The following is a 19314-nucleotide window of genomic DNA, read 5'->3' as shown; positions in this document are numbered from 1 at the left end:
ATGGGAGGCTTATTTGAAACAGGCATTTTAAGCACCTTTACAAAATAGCAAAGAAGTAATACACACATATGGTTTTAAAAAAATCCAGCAGTACAAAAAATTGTGCAGTAAAAAATGTCTCTTTCCCAACTTGAGATTCCCAGTTCCTCCCCAGAGGCAGCCACTAATGTTTTTTGTATTTCTTTCCATAGCTTTTCTATGCCTATGTAAGCATGTAGACTTACATTTTTTCTTTTCTTTTCTTTTTCTTTCTTTCTTTTCTTTCTTTCTTTCTTTCTTTCTTTCTTTCTTTCTTTCTTTCTTTCTTTCTTTCTTTCTTTCTTTCCTTCCTTCCTTCCTTTCTTTCTTTCCTTTCCTTTCTTTCCTTTCTCTCTTTCTTTCTCTCTTTCTTCTTTCTTTCTTCTTTTTTTTTTCTTGAGATGAACTCTCGCTGTGTTGCTAAGGGTGGAATGCAGTGGCGCAATCTCTGCTCACTGCAACTTCCGCCTCCTGGGTTCGAGTGATTCTCCTGCCTCAGCCTCCCAAGTAGCCGAGATTACAGGCACACACCACCATGCCCAGCTAATTGTTTTTTTGTATTTTTATTAGAGACGGGGTTTCACTATGTTGACCAGGCTGGTCTTGAACTCCTGACCTCAAGTGATCTGCCCACCTTGGCCTCCCAAAGTGCTGGGGTTACAGGCATGAGCCACCGTGCCTGGCCAACATACATTTTTTTTTTTAAATCCAACTGGTAGCATACAATGCACATGGTCCTGAACTTTGTTTTTTCCACTCCATAATGTATCTTAGAGCCCATTCCATATTAGCACCTATTAGTCCTTGCTTGCTTTCCAAGCGGCAGGGTTTGCCGTTGCATGGGTATATAATCATATATGTAACTGGATTCTCACTGAATGAATGGACATTTAGGTTATTTCCTGCCTTTTATTTTAAATAACACTGCAGTGAGCATGATATTATGTACATCTTGTGTCATGTGTGACAATTCTCTTGGGTTCTTTTCAGCAGTGTTGAGAAGGTGGTGTAAAGGACAGCTGGTCCAGGCCCCTCAGCAACATTTGACCAGTCTTGGTAGAATTTCGAGGAGGAAACGCTATAAGTGTGCGAGGTGACAAATGGGGCAAAGACATCTGAAGCCCATAGGCTCCAAGAAGGAGCCTGTGTCTGAACTATTAATGGGTTTGGGAGTCCTTAAGGGTGAGAAGGAGGGGGAGGGGCCACATCCAGGCATCTCTGAGGCACTGAAGGAAATTCTGAGGTGCTTCTGTCTGTGAGCCCCAGGCCCCATGAGGTCCAGCTGACTTTCCAACCCCACGGTCCCAGGAGAGAGGCAGCAGCTGCTTTTCCTTTCAGGTGAAATTTTCATAGGTAGGACTTTCAGGAATCTCAAGATCATTCTGTTGTGGTGGTGGCACCACCTGTGAGCCAAAAATCCACAAAAGAATATGGTTAATAAAGCCTTGGAAGAGTGAGGCTGATGAAAGAGGAAGGCAAGGCCAGGCTATGACTGGTCCATCCTACAGAAGTAGAGTCATATGTGCTGGCCCAGGGATGGCGCAATCAACCAGCCTGATGCCAAGCATTTATGGAGGCTCCTAATAGGAAAGGCTGTGGGCTGGACTCTCTGCAAGGACAACACAAGACAGTTTAGTGCAGCAAATCCAGGGGATAAAAAAATGACAATGAAGGGGCTTGCCCTCACGAAGCTACTGTCAAATGATTCCAATCTCTGCCCTAGCTGGAGAAACAAAACGAACATTTATAAGAAGATAATTTAGATGGCAGAGGTTAAGTTCCAAAGTAATGGTCCAGACCATTAGTCCCCAAGCTGTTCCCAAGGGTTCTTAGGCTTCCCTGTCTGAGAGTGTTCAGGGAAGGCTCTAAAGAGCAGATAAGCTCTGTGCTGACCCAGAGGAGCGGGAGGTTGGGTACCAGCAACAGCTTGGGGATAGCATAAACCTTTGAGATGTTGTACAGAGAGGTATATCAGAAATAAGAACTAAAGTAGGTTTGAGAATTTCCAGATCAAGTAGGCAATAATGGCCTTCAGAGATCCAAAACCAGAATTCCTGGTCCTGACAATTCTGAAGACAAAAGATATAGTTGTCAAGAGTTTGGCTCAGGAAATGCAATGATTTCAACTTACACTGTAAGTGAGGTGGTTTCAGGGGTCTCAGTCTCCAGGGTAGTGTGTGTGCCTTGCAGGACTGACCAGACATGTGGTGGTCATTCTGAAACTCAGAGCAGGGACTGACTTTAAGTTTGACCGGTATTGACCCAAACACAAAGGGCCAGGCCAGAGTAGAAAGCAGCTCTGGGAATGCAGTGAACAGCACAGATTTGGCCTTAGGTTCCAAGGCAAAGTCTCTAGCTGGCTAAGCATTAGACTACTGTCTAGAAGTCAGGATGAGATGGATGATGGTTGAACCAAACCACACATCCCAACAAGTGTTTACTGAGCAAATTCTATCCATCTTTTAAGGCCCAACCCAAATTCCTTTTTCATGATGTGTTTCCTCTTTACCACAGTGCAGTGATATCCCCCACCTTCAGCTTCTGAAAAACCCTTAGGAACTGTGCATACAATTTATTAAGTAGTCAAGTAACTTTAACCCATTTACGCAGGAGGTTGCAATTTTTTGAATTTGTGCATGAGTGAAAAATCAGACCCTGGTGATGATCTTGAGCAGTAGAATATAAATAACTCCTACACGCTTAGTGTTCCAATAATGGAACACCAGGCATAAGTGCAACATATGTTTGAACTGCATGGCCACTTATATGCAGATTTTTTTTCAATAAACATCACACTGAGTGTGCCTGCCTCTCCTGCCTCCCCTTTTACCTCCTCTACCTCTTTTACCTCTACCACTCTTGAAAGAACAAGACCAACCCTTCCTCTTCCTCCTCAGCCTACTCAATGTGAAGGTGAGGATGAAGACCTTTACAATGATCCAATTCCACTTAATGAATAGTATACATATTTTATCTTCCTTATGATTTTCTTAATAATTTCTTTTCTCTAGCTTACTTTATTGTAAGAATACAGTATATAATACACGTAACATGCAAAATATGTGTTAATCAAATGTTTATGTTTTTGGTAAGGCTTCTGGTCAACAGTAGGCTGTTAGTAGTTAAGTTCTGGAGAGTCAAAGTTATAGAATGATTTTTGATTGCATGGAGTGGGGTGGGGTTGGCACTCCTAAACCCCTGAATTGTTCAAGGGTCAACTGTAGTCTTTTCTTTTTTTTTGAGATGGAGTTTTGCTCTTGTTGCCCAGGCTGGAGTGCAATGGTGTGATCTCTGCTCACCGCAACCTCCACCTCCTGGGTTCAAGCAATTCTCCTGCCTCAGCCTCCTGAGTAGCTGGGATTACAGGTGCCTGCCACCACATTCAGGTAATTTTAATATTTTTAGTAGAGATGGGGTTTTACCATGTTGGCCAGGCTGGTCTTGAACTCCTGACCTCAGGTGATCCACCTGCCTCGGCCTCCCAAAGTGCTGGGATTACAGGCATGAGCCACCACGCCCAGCCGAGAGTTTTTTAAAAAATATTTTTTTGAATATGTTATAGGGAGGGAATTTGGGGGAGATTTGAAAGCAAAAGTATGAATGGACACGATGTTTTCAGGAAAGTGAAAATGAAATGGACAGCCAGATCAAGGTGAATTATTTAAGATTACTCAGGATGATCTTAAAACGCCTCATGGTTCTTAATACTGGAACTTCCAAGTACTATCTTTGTCACCTTAGGCAAAATTAACTTCCTTGAATCTGTTTCTTTGGCTATAAAATGTGGATGACAACACTTTTCTAGAAGTATTACAAAGATCAAAGAAGAATGTGTATCAAGGTATTGTAACTGCAAAACTTCATATAAAAGCAAGTCAGTTATTATTATCATTATGATTATTTAATGATAAATTCTACCTGTAAGGGATTTTTTTTTTTTTTTAAGACATGGTCTCACTCTGTCACCCAGGCTAGATTTCAGTGGCATGATCTTGGCTCACTGCAGCCTTGAACTCCCCGGCTCAAGCGGTCCTCCCACTTAAGTGTCCTAAGTAGCTGGGACTACAGGTGTGTACCACCACAGGCCTGGGTAATTTTTTTTGAACTTTTTATAAAGACAGGGTTTCACCATGTTGCCCAGGCTGGGAATTTTTTTTTTTTTTTTTTTTTTGAGATGGAGTCTTGTTCTGTTGCCCAGGCTGGAGTGCAGTGGCACGAACTTGGCTCACTGTAAGCTCTGCCTCCTGGGTTCACGCCATTCTCCTGCCTCAGTCTCTGAGTAGTTGGAACTACAGGCGCCTGCCACCACGCCTGGCTAATTTTTTTTGTATTTTTAGTAGAGACGGAGTTTCACCATGTTAGCCAGGATGGTCTCCATCTCCTGACCTTGTGATCCACCCGCCTTGGCCTCCCAAAGTGCTGGGATTACAGGTATGAGCCACCGCGCCCGGCTGGGATTTTTTTAAACACTAGAATAAAACTAATGTACTGTAGGTGGTGGTGTATTTTCCAAAAATTCTTGTTGTTAAATTGTTAGCTAATTTTCAATGGTTTTGAGAAGTTGTCATTTAGGTAGATTAGGATTAGGGTTAGAGATAGATTTAAAAAGCTATAAAGACCCTACCTTGTTTGAGTGTATAAGCTGTCATTCAGGTCAGTGTTAAAAATAACCAACATAAGATATTATTAAATCAATTAGAAATGTTCAGCCTTTGGTCACACAGATGTCAGGAATATTTGTTTATGCATCTCTGTTGACCATGGAATGTATCTGAGGGGTGCATAGTGGGTAGAATTTAAGATCCTTAGCCATGGGAATCTCGGATTTTCAGTTCAAAGGGTCTAAGGAATAGTTCCTCACTCTGTGGGCCTTGGGATACAGAGAATGTAGTTCTCACCACCTGAGGTTTCCGTATGGAGCAGTAGATTGTGGCTGAGCTCTCTTCCTTCTGAGAAACTGGGGTCTTTCCCTGTAACACACCAACAGCAGATGAGCCCTAGTGACCACATGAGAGCTTTTCAGTTTTACCCTCAACCCTTGAGGAGAGGGGATACCCCCTGGCTTCCCATCTCACACACAGGGTGGGAGCTGCCTTAGTGCAGTGGGGACGGTGCCTCTGGTTCTCCAACACCTTCCTTATTAGTGGCCCAAGAATGAGAGCTGAGGGACAAGTCCCTCGTTCCACAGGATCCCAAGGTTTGGTAAACATGGACACAGCCATGAGTCCCTGCCCGTATGCCCCTAGTCCTGTTTCCAGGCCCCAGCCCCCAGTTTGGAGGAACTAGTCATCCAGGATCTCAGATGCCGCTAGACATGGGAGGAGGAGGAAGGTGTATTGATCAGAAGGGCTCACCTGTAAGTTGAACACTTGTGCATACATGGTGTTCTCTCCAACCACAGACTCAACTTCCGTGACATATGGAGTGACGGGATCATAGTCTGCTTGGCCCTCAGGGGCTGGGTCATGTCCAGCGCCCTCCTGAGTGACCTGGTCAAATACCTCATATCTTCCACTGATGGGCTTGTGCACCTCAGGCCTGTCCTCATCCTCCTCAGTTGTGAGGTTGCTGTCAGAGCTGCTGTCTGAGGTGGGTGTAGGCTGTTGCCTGGCAGGCCTGAGGGGAGTGTCCAGCTTCTCATATCCTTGGGAGAGCACAGAGTATAGCGTGTGGCCAGCTGTGGGTTCTGGAACACATTGTGCAGGGCTGATAAAAGTATGCCAACCCCACCTCTCTTCTTGCTTTGCTGCAAGGCCCCAGCCTGCTCTGATGCCTGCATTAGATGAGGCCTAGAGAACCGAAGGAGATTGTTTTGTCCTGTCTTCCCTCAGGGGGTCCATTCCACTCTCCCTTCCTCCTTCCTTTCAAGCATTCATTTATTCATTCATTTGATAAATATTAAATATGACATGTGATAGACTTTAGCAACTCTCTGGCCCTGTGGGATAAACCATGCCAAGCATCATTGCAGGTACTCTGGGGAAACACAAAGGTAAATTAGACCTGGCCCTGGAGGAGCACCCTGTCTAGCTGGGGAGTCAGGTGCATGTGTAAATCAGTAATGTAAGGCCAGCTTTGCCAAGTATCCTATGGAACGTATGAGGAAAGTGCAGAGTTGAGAGGAGATGACTCTGGTTAGAGAAGCAGAGAGGAACTCATGAAAGTGGCAGAATTGAGGTGGGTCTTGAATAGGGATTCAATATTTCGATGAGTGGAAGGGTATTCTAGGTGGAGGAGGGAACAGCATGATTAGAGGCAGGTGTAAAGCCTGGAGCAGTCTCTTTTTCCGAAAGGATGATATTAAAAATACTTAACAATTGCAATGGTCAGGCCTTAGGCAATCAGCATGGGCACCTGTGAACAGTGGCATGGTGGATGCGCTGTGAGGGCCGGTGTGGCCCACTGGGTGGATATGCTGTGAACGCTGTCATGGCACACTGGGTGGATGTCAACCCTGCCTGTGGGGCACATGAAGTAGCCCATTTTGATACAGGAGTTAAGAAGAAATTACTTAGGCAGATAGTAAGGATATGGGAGTCCTTGGTCAGGCTTTTCTTTTTATTGAAAAGCAGCCCCAAATCATTTTCTAACAAAGAGCAGCCTGCAAGCTGGGAGCTTGCATGGGTGAACACCAGCAGGGACTAAGGAATAGACATTTTCAAAATGGCGGCTCCATCTTCCCTTCCCTGCCAGCCACTGTATTGAAAGGAGCAGATAAGATGGTGCCAATAAACTGGAAAATCCATTTGCATAAGAAGATTAGGGTGCGGCAACCAGCCTTTCCCAGGCACTACGTAAACGTCATGCCTTATCGAACCAATCTGTGAGCCCTAGGTAAATCAGACACCGCCTCCTCAAACTGGACTATAGAACTCAGCGCATTCACCAGCAGCCGGTCCCCACCCCTCTGAGACCCCTTCCTCTATAGAGGAAGCTGTTTCTCTTTTTCTTTTCTTCTACTTATTGAACGTCCGCTCCTAAACTCCTCCTGTGTGTCTGTGTCCTAAACTTTCCCGGCACGCGAGGACAAACCCTGAGTTTATATCTCAGACAACATAGCCCCTTCAATTTGACCTGATGCTCATATTTAGTAAGTGCCTACCGTGTGCGAGGCACAGTTCTAAATGCTTTTCATGAATAAGTTTATTTAGTCTGCCTAAAACCCCATGAAGCATAGACAATAACTATCCGTATTTATTTTTTGTAGATGAGGAAACTCGGGCACGTAAAGATTAAGTATTTTCCCGAGTAAGTGGTAGGGCCAGGATTTGACTACAGCTAGTCTTGTCCCTGATGCTCTTAACCGCTGCTCAATCCTGCCCCCTCCCGGCTGGCCCCTCTTTCTCTTTCGCTCAATACTGAGTGAAAATAGATACCTTCATTTTGGAAGGTAAGGAAACTGAGGCTTAGGGATTCATAAGGAGGAGAGCTAGGGTTTGAGCACAGGGTTATCCTACCTCAGAACCCATACACTTGACCACTTGGTTATATCGCCTTTTGAACAGACAAAGGCCATTAGGGGCTATTGAGGGTTTTAGAGAAGTCAGAGTTGAGCTTGGCAAAGTGATGAGAGGAAATAGTCTGCAAAGAAACTATTAGCATATTTTAGGAAAGAAGTAACAAGGAATGAGAATGTCTGTTAATAAGGACTGGTAAAGTAAATTAGTTAAACAAATGTGTAGAATGGAATAAATGGGAATCAGTTTTAATCTACAAACATTAATATTGCTGGGATGTACTGTTAAGATCAAAAAGCAAGGTTTAGAAAAAAAGTGTTATAGATTGCTCCCATATGTGAAGTTAAAGGAACACCCTCCCCACACAAATATGTATGAAACCTGCAAATGCATTAAAAGTTTCTGAAAGGATTCAGGTCTGTAGAAATCTCAGCAGTGGTTGTCTCTTGGGGGAGAGACTTAGAACCTGGAGATGGAATTTGGAAAGAGAACTACTTTTAACTGTATGCCATGTGAATATATGGTTTTTTTTTTTTTTTTTTAGCAAAGTTTCACTTTTTTTGCCCAGGTTGGAGTGCAATGGTGCAGTCTCAGCTCACTGCAACCTCTGCCTTCCAGGTTCAAGTGATTCTCCTGCCTCAGCCTCCAGAGTAGCTGGGATTACAGGCATGTGCCACCATGCCTGGCTAATTTTTATATTTTTGGTAGAGACGGGGTTTCACCATGTTGGCCAGGCTGGTCTTGAATTCCTGACCTCAGGTGATCTACCTGCCTCAGCCTCCCAAAGTACTGGGATTATAGGCGTGAGCCACCGTGCCCAGTCTGACTTTTGAATTAAAAAAAAAAAAAAACTATTCAATTAAACAACAAATTGGTGACAACATGAACTAAGGCAGTGGCAGTGGATCTAGGGAAGAGGAGACCTTGGAGAGGTTAAAGAAGCAGGCCTTGGAGGTTCAAGAAGGGTTCTGGGGGAGAGAAGAGGTAGGGAGGTGGTGGTGGCCCCAACATCTCTTTACCCTCTGCCCAAGGAAGGAGGGTTCAGGCAGGGGGACACCAGGGCTCTGTCCTGTCAGTAGTGAGGAGGGAGCTGATGGGGAGCTTCATAGTCCAGCCTAATTCCCTTCCTTGCCCCCTGTCTCTTGGTTATGCTTTTCCATCAGAAGAGCCCATATCGTCACATGCTCCCTGCCCAGTCCTGCCTCTGATTCCATCTCCATGGGGAATCCCTGCCATGAGGGGTGACATATAGTTTTATTTTTTATTTATTTATTTATTTTTTAAAGCAGGATTTGGTTAGAGTGAGCACAGGTTGGGGATTCCTTAGCACTCCAGAGCTCCAGAGTTTAAGGTGAAATTTTAGGACACTGTGGCATGGGAGTGGGGGAGTAAAGGCAGGCATCTCAGCTCCCCACACTAAAACCTGTCAGAGCAGTTCCATTTCCCACGATGCTCTTAGGTAATAGGTTGTACAGTCTCCTGAAGTTTAATTTTAATTAAGTTTTAAATTTTTTTCTACCACAGATGTACTGTTCCATCTGGCCTTTGTTTCTCTGTTCTCAGAATGGAGACAATAACTCCATCCTCATTGTAGTCCACATTCAAATGGTGAATGGCTAATGCCCAAGGAACCCTAGAGACCCTGGGGGACAGACTGCCTCTCCTAGCTCTGGTGACCATCTCTAAGGAGTCTATCTTGGCTTTTGTTTCTATGCTACCTTCCTTTTCAAACTTCAGTAGGCATATGAATCACTTATGGATCTTGTTAAAATACAGGTTTGGAATCAGTATTCTGGGGTGATGCCCAAGATTCCCTCCCTCCCTCCCTCCCTCCCTCCCTTCCTTCCTTCCTTCCTTTCTTTCTCTCTCTTTCTTTCTCTTTCTGTTTTTTTTTTTTTTTTTTGAGACAGAGTCTTGCCCTGTTGCCCAGACTGTAGTGCAGTGGCGTGATCTAGGCTGACTGCAACCTCCACCTCCCAGGTTAAATAGATTCTCATGCCTCAGCCTCCCGAGTAGCTGGGATTACAGGCGTGCACCACCATGCCCAGATAATTTTTTCTATTTTTAGTAGAGACAGGGTTTCACTTTGTTGGCCAGGCTGGTCTTGAACTCCTGGCCTCAAGTGATCTACCTGCCTCAGCCTCCCGAAGTGCTGGGATTACAGGTGTGAGCCACGGCACCTGGTCAGATTTTGCATTTCTAACAAGTTTCCTGGGTGATGCCCACACTGCTGGCCAGCAGACCACACTTTGAGCAGCAAGACTTTAGAACTTCCATTTGGACCAGATACCCCATAGCCTGTGTCATGGGTGATGTTACCTGGTGTATCCGCTGGGGCCTCAGCTTGGCTGGAACAGAAGGCTGGGACTGAACCTGAGAAACAAAGTTAGAGAAGGTTTATCAAGAGGGCTGTGAGGTGAGAGGTGTCTTTTATTCTGTGAGAGTCAAATGAGAAGGGGAGAGACTTCTGGGACATAGACAGGGAAAAGGCTTCAGGAAGGAGGATGAACCCTGATGAGAAGCCAGGCCTATGTGAAGGGGTGGCCAGAGTCTAGGGCTACTTTCTGCAGAGGTGGAGGCTCTGGAGCTTCCTGCCATCCCTCCAGAAGAGAGAGCTCCTCTGCCATAGCCACTGATCAGAGTAGTTTGCCTGCAATTCAGTAATTCTTCCAGGGACCCCATGTGTTCTACCCATTCTGCTCTTTTTGGCTACTACTTCATTTCCACTCCAATACTGGGATTCTAGAGGAGCTGCCAATCATAATAGTGTATCTTCTTGGCTATAGAAATTGGTCCAAGCAGCAGCCACATGACCTTAACTTGGGCCAATCAGAGCTATTTCTGACATTCTTTAAATTGGAGTTAGAGGGAAGCACATTTTCTTCCCTGTCTGGTGTCGGAGCTGTTAGTATGTGTGGGTCTGGAGCTGCCAGCTGTTGTGTTGTGGTACACTCCTCCCCTCGCTCCCACCCCTTCCCTCAGCGGGCTGCAGTAGGAAGAGTTAAGCTGACTCAAAATACACAGTAGAGATGAAAGGTGGAGAGCTCTGATGACTTTTGAGCCTCTGGTGACATTTCTCCATTATGCCAGCTCTATCCCTGCCTTCCCCACAGATTGATTATTTAAGTGAAAAAATAATAAATCACTCTCCCTGCTCCCACATGCCTTTTTTTTTCTGTCTAAGCCAGTTTGAACTGGGCTTCTATTATTTGTGAGTAAAGAGTCCCAACTGACACCCCTCCCCCATTGCTCTGAGAAGAAATAAGATGCTGGCAGGGAGGGGTAGCACGGGATTGTGTGAGGGCAGAGAAGCCTCCACAAGTCCCAGGGAAATGGCCTAGCACTGGCGGACAACATTGATCTCGGAAACTCACACCGTCCTTTTCGCTTCCAAATGCACCAGCTGAAGATCCCAACGCACAGAAGGCAAACCATCAGGAACAACCCAATCCAAAGCTTTGTGTTTCTCTCAGGTCCTTTGAGGAGGAAATGAGTGATGTTAATTCAAATAATGACAAGACACACTGGAGCAAACAATGCACAGAACATGATGGCCATCCTACCTGCCCCTTAAAATCCATGACGTTGTGGAAAGTCTTTCTTTTCATTCATTCTACAACCATTTTTCGAGCAAGCATTACTCTAGGCAAGAGGTTATAGCAGTACCTGAGGCAGACAGTCCCTGGGTAGAGAGGTTTACGGCTTGCCCAGTGTCACAGTGTTTCAAGTGTCTGACCTGAGGTTCGAGTGCAGATCCTACAGCGCCCTTAATCGCCACATTACACTGCCCCGCTGTAAATGATATGAGGGGAGTTCCAGATTCCTGTTAAGCTGGACTCTAGATCTGTCTGCCAGACACAATCTGACCCAACATTGTCAGATCCTGGGTAGACCGTACCTTTTTTCTGCTTCCTTCTACGGAAGAGCAGAAGATAGAGCTCAGGGTTCGAAACCAGCTTTTATGGTGTGACCTTGGATAAGTCCCTTATCTTTTCTGAGCCTCAGTTTCTTTATCCATATAAAGGGGAAAAACGAGAATATCTACTCTGTAGGATTGTTGCGAAGATTGTGCAAAAATGCCTGAAGGCCTAGAATAGTACTTAGCATTTATTAAGGGCCACTGGGGCTTCTTTTCTAGCTCCCACTCACGCAGCCTTTGTTCCTGTGTGGTCCACATCCCTTTCCATATCAGCTTCCTATTGGCTTTTCTCCACAAGCCTGTAACTCTGTGCTGTTCAATATGGTAGCCACAAGCTATGCATAAGCCCTTGAAGTGTGGCTAGTATTACTGAGACACCAAATTGCTTCTTTTATTTAGTTTTAGTTTAAATTTAAAAATGGCTACTCAATTCCTTCTTGAAAAACTGATAAATATGCTTGGAATAACTTGGGTGCATAAATCTATTTTTTCAACTGTAAATTTTACGAAGTCTGAATATAGATTAAACACTTTCAGTGAAAATTTAGCATCGGAATCGAGACGTGCTCTAAGTGTAAAATACATACTGGCTCTCAAAGACTTAGTACAAAATAAAATGTAGTGTCTAATGAATTTTTTTGTATTGAATACACGTTGAATAATGATATTTTGGATATATTCAGTTAAATAAAACATATTATTAAAATAACTTTATTTCTTCTTGCTTTTTCTAACGTGGCTATTAGAACATTAAAATCACATGCGTGACTCTCATATATCTGTGGAAGCATGCCACTCTAAAGGGCTCTCACCCACAGCCTCTTACTGCACTTCATAAAGAATCAGTCAGGATGCAAACTCTTGGAGGCCCCAAGGTCCTGTGACCTGAGTAAATAGAGATGGAGAGAAACCTGAACAGATGTTCTCAGAAAGAAACTGGTGGGAACTCCTGCTGACAGGGTTGCTGGCTGTGCATGTGAGGTTGGGGTGATTTTCACTGCTTCTCCATGAGACATTGAGGTGTGATTCCCCTTGGGACACAACAGCTTCCTTCTGCAGCGGGGTCCATGTGTACATGACAGTGTTTCCCCCGTCCTCCACGGAGCAGGTCAGGCTGATCCTGCAGATGCCATCCTCACTGTGCCTGAGGCTCCACGTGATTTTGGGCTTCCTCAGCCTGCCTGTGAGGAGAGAGGCAGACTCCATGTGGAATCAGGCCTGCCCCCTGAGCAGTCACCTGTCTTCATTCATTGAAAATATATTCATGAAGCTGAGTGTTGATACTGCCGGCAAAGTGCCTCCAGGAGCCACAGGAATTTTGGAGTATACCTGGCATTTTCCTCACTACTTGTGACATCTCAGACACACCTCTTTGCCTCTTGATGCTCAGGTGAGAAACAAGGGAAATGATGAAAAGTGAAGAAAGAAAGACACAACCTCATTCTATACAGTTAGTTACAGCTGTGAAAGCAAGCAAACCAATCAACACAGATGAGCGCAACACTTCCATGTGCTGTGAAGACCCTTCAAGGCTTGGCTTTGAGGCTGATTTGTTTACTTATATGAGATAAGGGATGCAGAGAGGTGAGCGCTGTACCTGACACAGAGTAAATGTTCAATAAATGTTAGCAACTTTAAAAGAAACAATAAGACTGACTCTATTTGTTTCCTGTTTATTATTTTTACTTAACCTTGTGGGTTCCTTTATATTTGAGGCATTGTGTGCAATAGGCATGGACTTGGCCGACTTGCTTCATATTTTAACAAAACCATGATAGTGACTCTTCACAGATACCTAGACATTGACAAACTCAGGCAGGGGGTATGCTGACCATGTCTGAATGGCACAAGTGAAGGAACAGGTAAACATAAACCATGCAAATTGCCAAGCCAAGCTCCTGTGAGGCCCAGGGCTGAGGAGGTAGAATGCAAATTCTGTTCCTCACCCCCAGGGGAACTGAGTGGCCCACCTTCTTGGAGGCCACAGTGTCTTTGGACACCAAGGGCTTCTCCTCAGTCTTCTCTGATTTCACCCCAGCCAACTTTGGCCTTATTCAAAATGATAATAGTTTATAAAAATGCAGGTTGGGGCCAGGTGCCATGGCTCATGCCTGTAATCCCAGCACTTTGGGAGGCTGAGGCAGCGGATCACCTGAGGTCAGGAGTTTGAGACTTGCCTGGCCAATATGGCAAAACCCTATCTCTACTAAAAGTACAAAAATTAGCTGGTTGTGGTGGCGTGTGCCTGTAGTCCCAGCTACTTGGGAGGCTGAGGCAGAAGAATCCCTTGAACTTGGTAGTCAGAGGTTGCAGTGAGCTGAGATCGTGCCACTGTACTCCAGCCTGGGTGACAGAGCATGACTCCATCTCAAAAATTTAAAAATGCAGGTTGGTGAGTTCCCAGTCCCTTTGTTTTGTTTTGTTTTGTTTTTTTTAGACGGAGTCTTGCTCTTTCTCTCAGGCTGGAGTGAAGTGGCATGATCTCGGCTCACTGAAACCTCCGCCCCTTGGGGTTCGAGCGATTTTCCTGCCTCAGCCTCTAGAGTAGCTTGGATTACAGGCGCCCACCACCGAACCCAGCTAATTTTTGTGTTTTTAGTAGAGACGGGGTTTACCATGTTGGCCAGCCTGGTCTCAAATTCCTGACCTCAGGTGATTCACCTGCCTCAGCCTCCCAAAGTACCGGGATTATAGGTGTGAGCCACCGCACCTGGCCTCCTAGTCCCTTCTGACACTCAGTGCAGAAGGACCGGGGCAAGCACCTAAAGTTGGGTGGTGGAGGCCTAACTGGCAGCCTAGAGCCAGGGGCACTTTGGCGGGTAGACTTGTCCAGCAGCTAGTCATGAGTTTGCCTCCTATGAATCAACTGGTGTGAACTGAACAGCTGTCCTAGTGGTCTGAGGCATTTCAGTATGAGGGAAGACCCTTGGAGAAGCGGAAGGTGGAGAAGGCAGCAGAGGAGAAAGCTTTCAGAGAAGGAATCTGGTGATGGGTGCCCTGCCCAGAGACTCACGGTAGATGAGCAGGGTGACATGTGTCATGCTGGTGACGCTGGAGGCCTCTGAGCACACGTAGGCATGGTAGGGGCCGGCGTCCTCTATCTTCAGCTGGCTGATCTTCAGGGAGCAGTCCTGGCTGGAGACCCACACCCTGTTCTTGTAAGGATCCCTGGATTTAATGAGTGGATCTGCCGTTGCTGCTTCTTCCCTCTCTTTGCTAATGATGGATGTGTTAAACAACCAGACAACCTTCTCTGTGTCCCGGCAGGCTGGGAGTGCAAGTGGCAGGGTGACTGGCTCTCCCAGGACCCCTACCACAGTCTCCCCCGTTGTTCCTCCTCTGGAGGCTCCTGGATCTGGGGTCACAGATGAGACATTGCAGCTTCAGTCACTGTCCCTACTCCCTTGGCCCCCAGGCATCCTAAAGGGGACTGAGGGGACTGAAGTCCCTCCTCCTCTTCCTCTTTCTCCTGGCCTCCTCCTCTGAGGGGCATGCCTGCTACTTCTCCATGACCACCTGTTCCACTGGGCTGTGCCCACTGAATACTTGGACTCTCATGTCCCCTCTCTGCCCTTCTGAGGGTACCCGGAAACACCTCCACCCAAGCAAAGACCAATCTGGACTCCTGTATCCATATTGTCTTCTCCTCCCTTGCTCTAACCTTAGAGTATCACAGTGTTCTGGGCTTTCCCAAGTCCTGCCAGCCTCTGTCATGTCCCTGAGAGTAGAGAATAAGGGGTTTTGGGGCCTGTCCTCTTGCTTCCCCACCCCCTGTGTGTCTGACCAGGATCCTAGGGTTTAGACTCCACAGCTGCTCATATTGTTTCTGGAATTCCCTCAAGGGCCAAGTTGGAGCCAGTTACCTGTACAGAACTGCCCAACATGGACAGGGAGGGAGCTTCTCTGGCTGACGGGGTTCTGGGCTGTGCAGATGTATGGCAGGTCTGGGTCACATGGTGTTCGGGAGACGGTAAGAATGGAGCCTCCATTGGACTCAGAAGCATGGGGTTCCCTTGGGGTCCAGCTGTACAGAACACTTTTCTCTGCCCCCTTCACGGAGCACATTAGAGTGATGTTACAGGAGAAGTTCTCAGACACCTTCACAGACTTCATGGTGACTTGGGGCTCCTGCAGCTGCTCTGCAGGGACAACAGCATGGGAAGATGCTCAGATCCTTTTGCCAGCAGGAAAGCGCTGAGAGAAGAAGGGAGTGACAATAGGGGAGTTGGGGGCAGCAGAGAGAGGCCAGCGTTACCTGTCGCAGGGACATCTTCTCTGCAGGCTGGGTTGACAGCCTCTCCTCTGTACTCCCATAACATCCGCTACAGGTGTTATCACCATGACTCAGCATGACTAATAGTCTGATTACTTCTCTCTCTCCCCGACCAGTGTAAGAACTCCTTGATGACAGGGCTGATTCCTGTGTCTGAACATCTAACACCCAGCCTGCCTTATGAAAAACACTCATGAATGTTCAATGAATAAATAGGTGAATGGCCCAGCCCCAAACGCTATGGAGTGGGGACCTCTGCTTCTAGAATTTGAGTTGCCCGTGTCTTTGGTCTGAATTTAGGATGCATTGTGCTTCTAGATCTTCTTCCTTGTCTTCTCCTTTCCTTTTGTTCCATCTCCACTGCTCACCATGTATGTGCACATGTGTGAATGTTTCATTAAGTTATATTTCTTTTTTGAGACAGAGTCTCACTCTGTTACCCAGGCTAGAGTGCAGTGGCGTGATCACTGCTCACTGCAACCTCTGCCTCCTGGGTTCAAGCGATTCTCCTGCCTCAGCCTCCTGAGTAGCTGGGATTACAGGCACACAGCACCACACCCGGCTAATTTTTGTATTTTTAGTAGAGATGAAGTTTCACCAGTTGGCCAGGCTGGTCTCGAACTCCTGACCTCAGGTGATCTGTCTGCCTTGGCCTCCCAAAGTGCTGGGATTACAGGCATGAGCCACTGCACCTGGCCCAATATTTCTTCTTTTGAATAGGTAATACATTAAAAAAAATTGAGAAAATACCAAAGCTACATAATGAAAAAAGTAAGCTTTCTAGCCTCCAGCCATTTATTTCATCTCCCCAAGAATTACTATTCCTGGAGGCAATTACTGTTATGGGTTTCTTGTTGATCTTTCCAGAGGTATTCTAGATATAGACAGATATATGCATACTTTACACACTGTTTTGAACCTTAAAAAATTAACAATATATCTTGGAAATTATTGTACGTCATTTGTCAACACATGTGGAGTTGATTCATTCTAATTCTATTAACTGCACAGAATTCCGTTTCCTTAATAGATACAGAATACCCTACAAATCAATGAAAACGGTCAAATTATCTGATAGAAAGATGGTGTTATGAGCTAAACTGTGTCTCTGCAAAGTTTAGATGTTGAAGTCTTAACCTCTAGCACCTCAGAATGTGACCGTATTTGAAGATAGAACTATATTTGGAGATAGAAGTAATTAAGTTAAAATGGGGCCATTAGGGTGGGCCCTAGTCTGATATGAGTGGTATCCTTATAAGAAGATGAGATTAGAGCACAGACAATATAGACAGAGGGACACCCATGTGAAGACATGGAGAGAAAGTGGCCATGTGGGAGCCAAGGAGAGAGGCCGCAGAAGAAACCAAGCCGCTGATACCTTCATTGGCCTCCAGAATTGTGTTCTGGAGAAATGTGGAATACGTTTCTGTTGTTTAAGCTAGTCAGTCTGCAGTATTTTGTTATGGCAGCCCTAGAAAACTAACACAGATTTTGATACCAGAAGTGGGATGAAGCTCTAAAAATCTAAAAATGTGAAGTGGCTTTGGAATGGGCTGATGGGTGGAGATTGGAAGAATTTTGAGGTGTGTGCTAGAAAAATCCTAGATTGTCTTCAAGAGACTCTGGGTAGAAACATGAATGTTAACGAAAATTTGGGTGAGCACTCAGAAAGAAAATAGGAACACTGCAGGGAATGCTGCTATTACCTTAGAGATATACATATGTGATCATGAGCAGAATGTTGGTAAAAATATAAATATTAAATGTGTTGCTGGTGAGGTCTCAGACAGAAATTAGAAATATGTTACTGGAAACTGGAGGAAAGGGCATACTTGTTGTAAAGTGGCAAAGAACTCGGCCACGTTGTATTCTAGTGTTTTGTGGAAAGCAGAATGTTTAAGTGATAAATTTGGGTACTTAGCTGTGGAGATTTCTAATCAAAGAGCTGAAGGCACTGCCTAGTTTCTCCTTGCTACTTATATAAAATGTGAGAAGAGAGAGAGAGGTTAAATAAGGAATTGTCAAGCAAGATGGAGCCAGAACTTAAAGCTTTGAAAAAATGTCACCTATTCATATTGCGAAAAACGAGAAAGTGTGTCTGGAGAGAACACAAAGATTGTGGCTTGGCAATGTTTGCTAAAGAGGTTATGAGATTTGACCACCTCAGCAGAAATGCTGCCAGTCTGGACTGTAAGGGACAGAGACAGGACAAATGAAGGAGTGTGTCAGGCTTCTGGGATTTTATGAAATAAGTCAATACAGCTGTACAGCTGCAAATATGTATTATCCTTCAAGAAAAGGGAAGAGTGACCCCACAGGCAGTTCAGAAGTAGGCAGAGCTGCCACTGCCACCATAGGCCTAGAGGGCACAAGCCTTGGGTAGGGTGAGGTGGTTTCCTCCTTGGTTCCAGGGGGCAGAACTGCCGCTCAGGGCCAAGGAGGTGGGGCTGCTACTCCAGTGGGCCCAGAGGATAGAGCACTGAGCCAAAGAGTATTATGCTTGAGCCTTAAAATCTAATGGAATTTACCCTGTTAGGTTTTGGACTTGTTTGGGACCTGTGACTTTTTTCTTCTTCCCAATGTCTCTCTTTTGGAATGGCAATGTCTATTCCATACCTGTTCCACCATTGAATTTTGGAGGCAGATAACTTCTCTGGTTTTGCAGGTTCACAACTGAAGAAGAATTTTGCCTCAGGGTGAATCATATCTCAAGTCTCACCCATACCTGATTTAAATAATATTTAGATGGATTTTGGACTTACAGTTGATGCTGGAATGGGTTAAAACTTCTGGTATTGTTGGAATGTGGTGAATGTATTTTGCATGTGAGAAGGACATGAATTTTGAGAGGCCAGAGGGTAGAATGTTAGGGCTGAATTCTGTCCTCCCACAACATTCATATGTAGAAGTTCTAATCCCGAGTACCTCTGAATGTGACTGTATTTGGAGACAGGGCATCTAAAGAGGTAATTAAGTTAAAATGGAATTGTTAGGGTGAACCCTAATACAGTATGACCGATGTGCTTATAAGAAGAGATTAGGACATAGACAACACAGACAAAGGAATGACTGTGGGGGCACAGTGAAAAGGTGGCCAACTACAAGCCGAAGAGAGAGGTCCCAGGAAAAACCGAACCTGCCAACACCTTGAACTTGGATTTCTAGTCTCCAGAATTGTGAGAAATAAATTTCTGTTGTGTAAGCCATCTATTCTGGGATATTCTGTTATGGCATCCCTATCACACTAATACAGATGAGTAAAGAATATTAATAGAGAGTTACAGAAAAGAGAATACAAATGGCTATTCAATACATGAAAAGATGGCTAGACACAGTGGCTCACGCCTATAATCCTAGCACTTTGGGAGGCTGAGGAGAGTGAATTGCTTGAGGCCAGGAGTTCAAGATCAGCCTGGCCAACATGGCAAAACCCTGTCTCTACTAACAATACAAAAATTAGCCAGGCATGTGGTGCATGCCTGTAATCCCAACTTCCTCGGGGGCCAAGACGGGTGAATTGTTTGGACTCAGAAGGTGGAGGTTGCAGTGAGCTGAGATTGCACCACTGCACTCCAGCCTGGGCAACAGAGCAAGACTGTCTATCAAAACAAACATAAAACATAAAACATGAAGAGATGCTCATCTCA

General features: G+C 45.3%; 1 protein-coding gene across 16 annotated transcripts in view; it reads right to left on the bottom strand.

The window, feature by feature from the left end:
• LY9 (lymphocyte antigen 9) overlaps positions 914-19314 on the bottom strand; it is a 32082-nt gene continuing 13681 nt past the window's right edge. For 3 of the 16 annotated variants that reach the window (XM_011509560.2, XM_047420764.1, XM_047420765.1), the window contains 7 exons: positions 15258-15533; positions 14408-14749; positions 10850-10951; positions 9795-9848; positions 5373-5662; positions 4920-4988; positions 914-1421 (listed from right to left, as the gene is read on the bottom strand). In XM_011509560.2, coding sequence (XP_011507862.1) covers positions 1353-1421; positions 4920-4988; positions 5373-5662; positions 9795-9848; positions 10850-10951; positions 14408-14749; positions 15258-15533 — 1202 coding nt within the window. In that variant the 3' untranslated portion in view covers positions 914-1352. Of the gene's footprint in view, positions 4989-5372; positions 5705-9794; positions 9849-10849; positions 10952-12305; positions 12576-14407; positions 14750-15257; positions 15589-19314 lie in introns of all 16 variants that reach the window. The other 13 variants (XM_011509549.2, NM_002348.4, XM_017001299.2 and 10 more) reach the window with 10 other exon arrangements.

Source organism: Homo sapiens, chromosome 1, assembly GCF_000001405.40.
Source record: "Homo sapiens chromosome 1, GRCh38.p14 Primary Assembly".
In the NCBI taxonomy this organism is placed as follows: domain Eukaryota; kingdom Metazoa; phylum Chordata; class Mammalia; order Primates; family Hominidae; genus Homo; species Homo sapiens.
The sequence above is the reverse complement of the archived record's forward strand: the minus strand, read 5'-3'. Positions and strand labels throughout refer to the sequence as shown.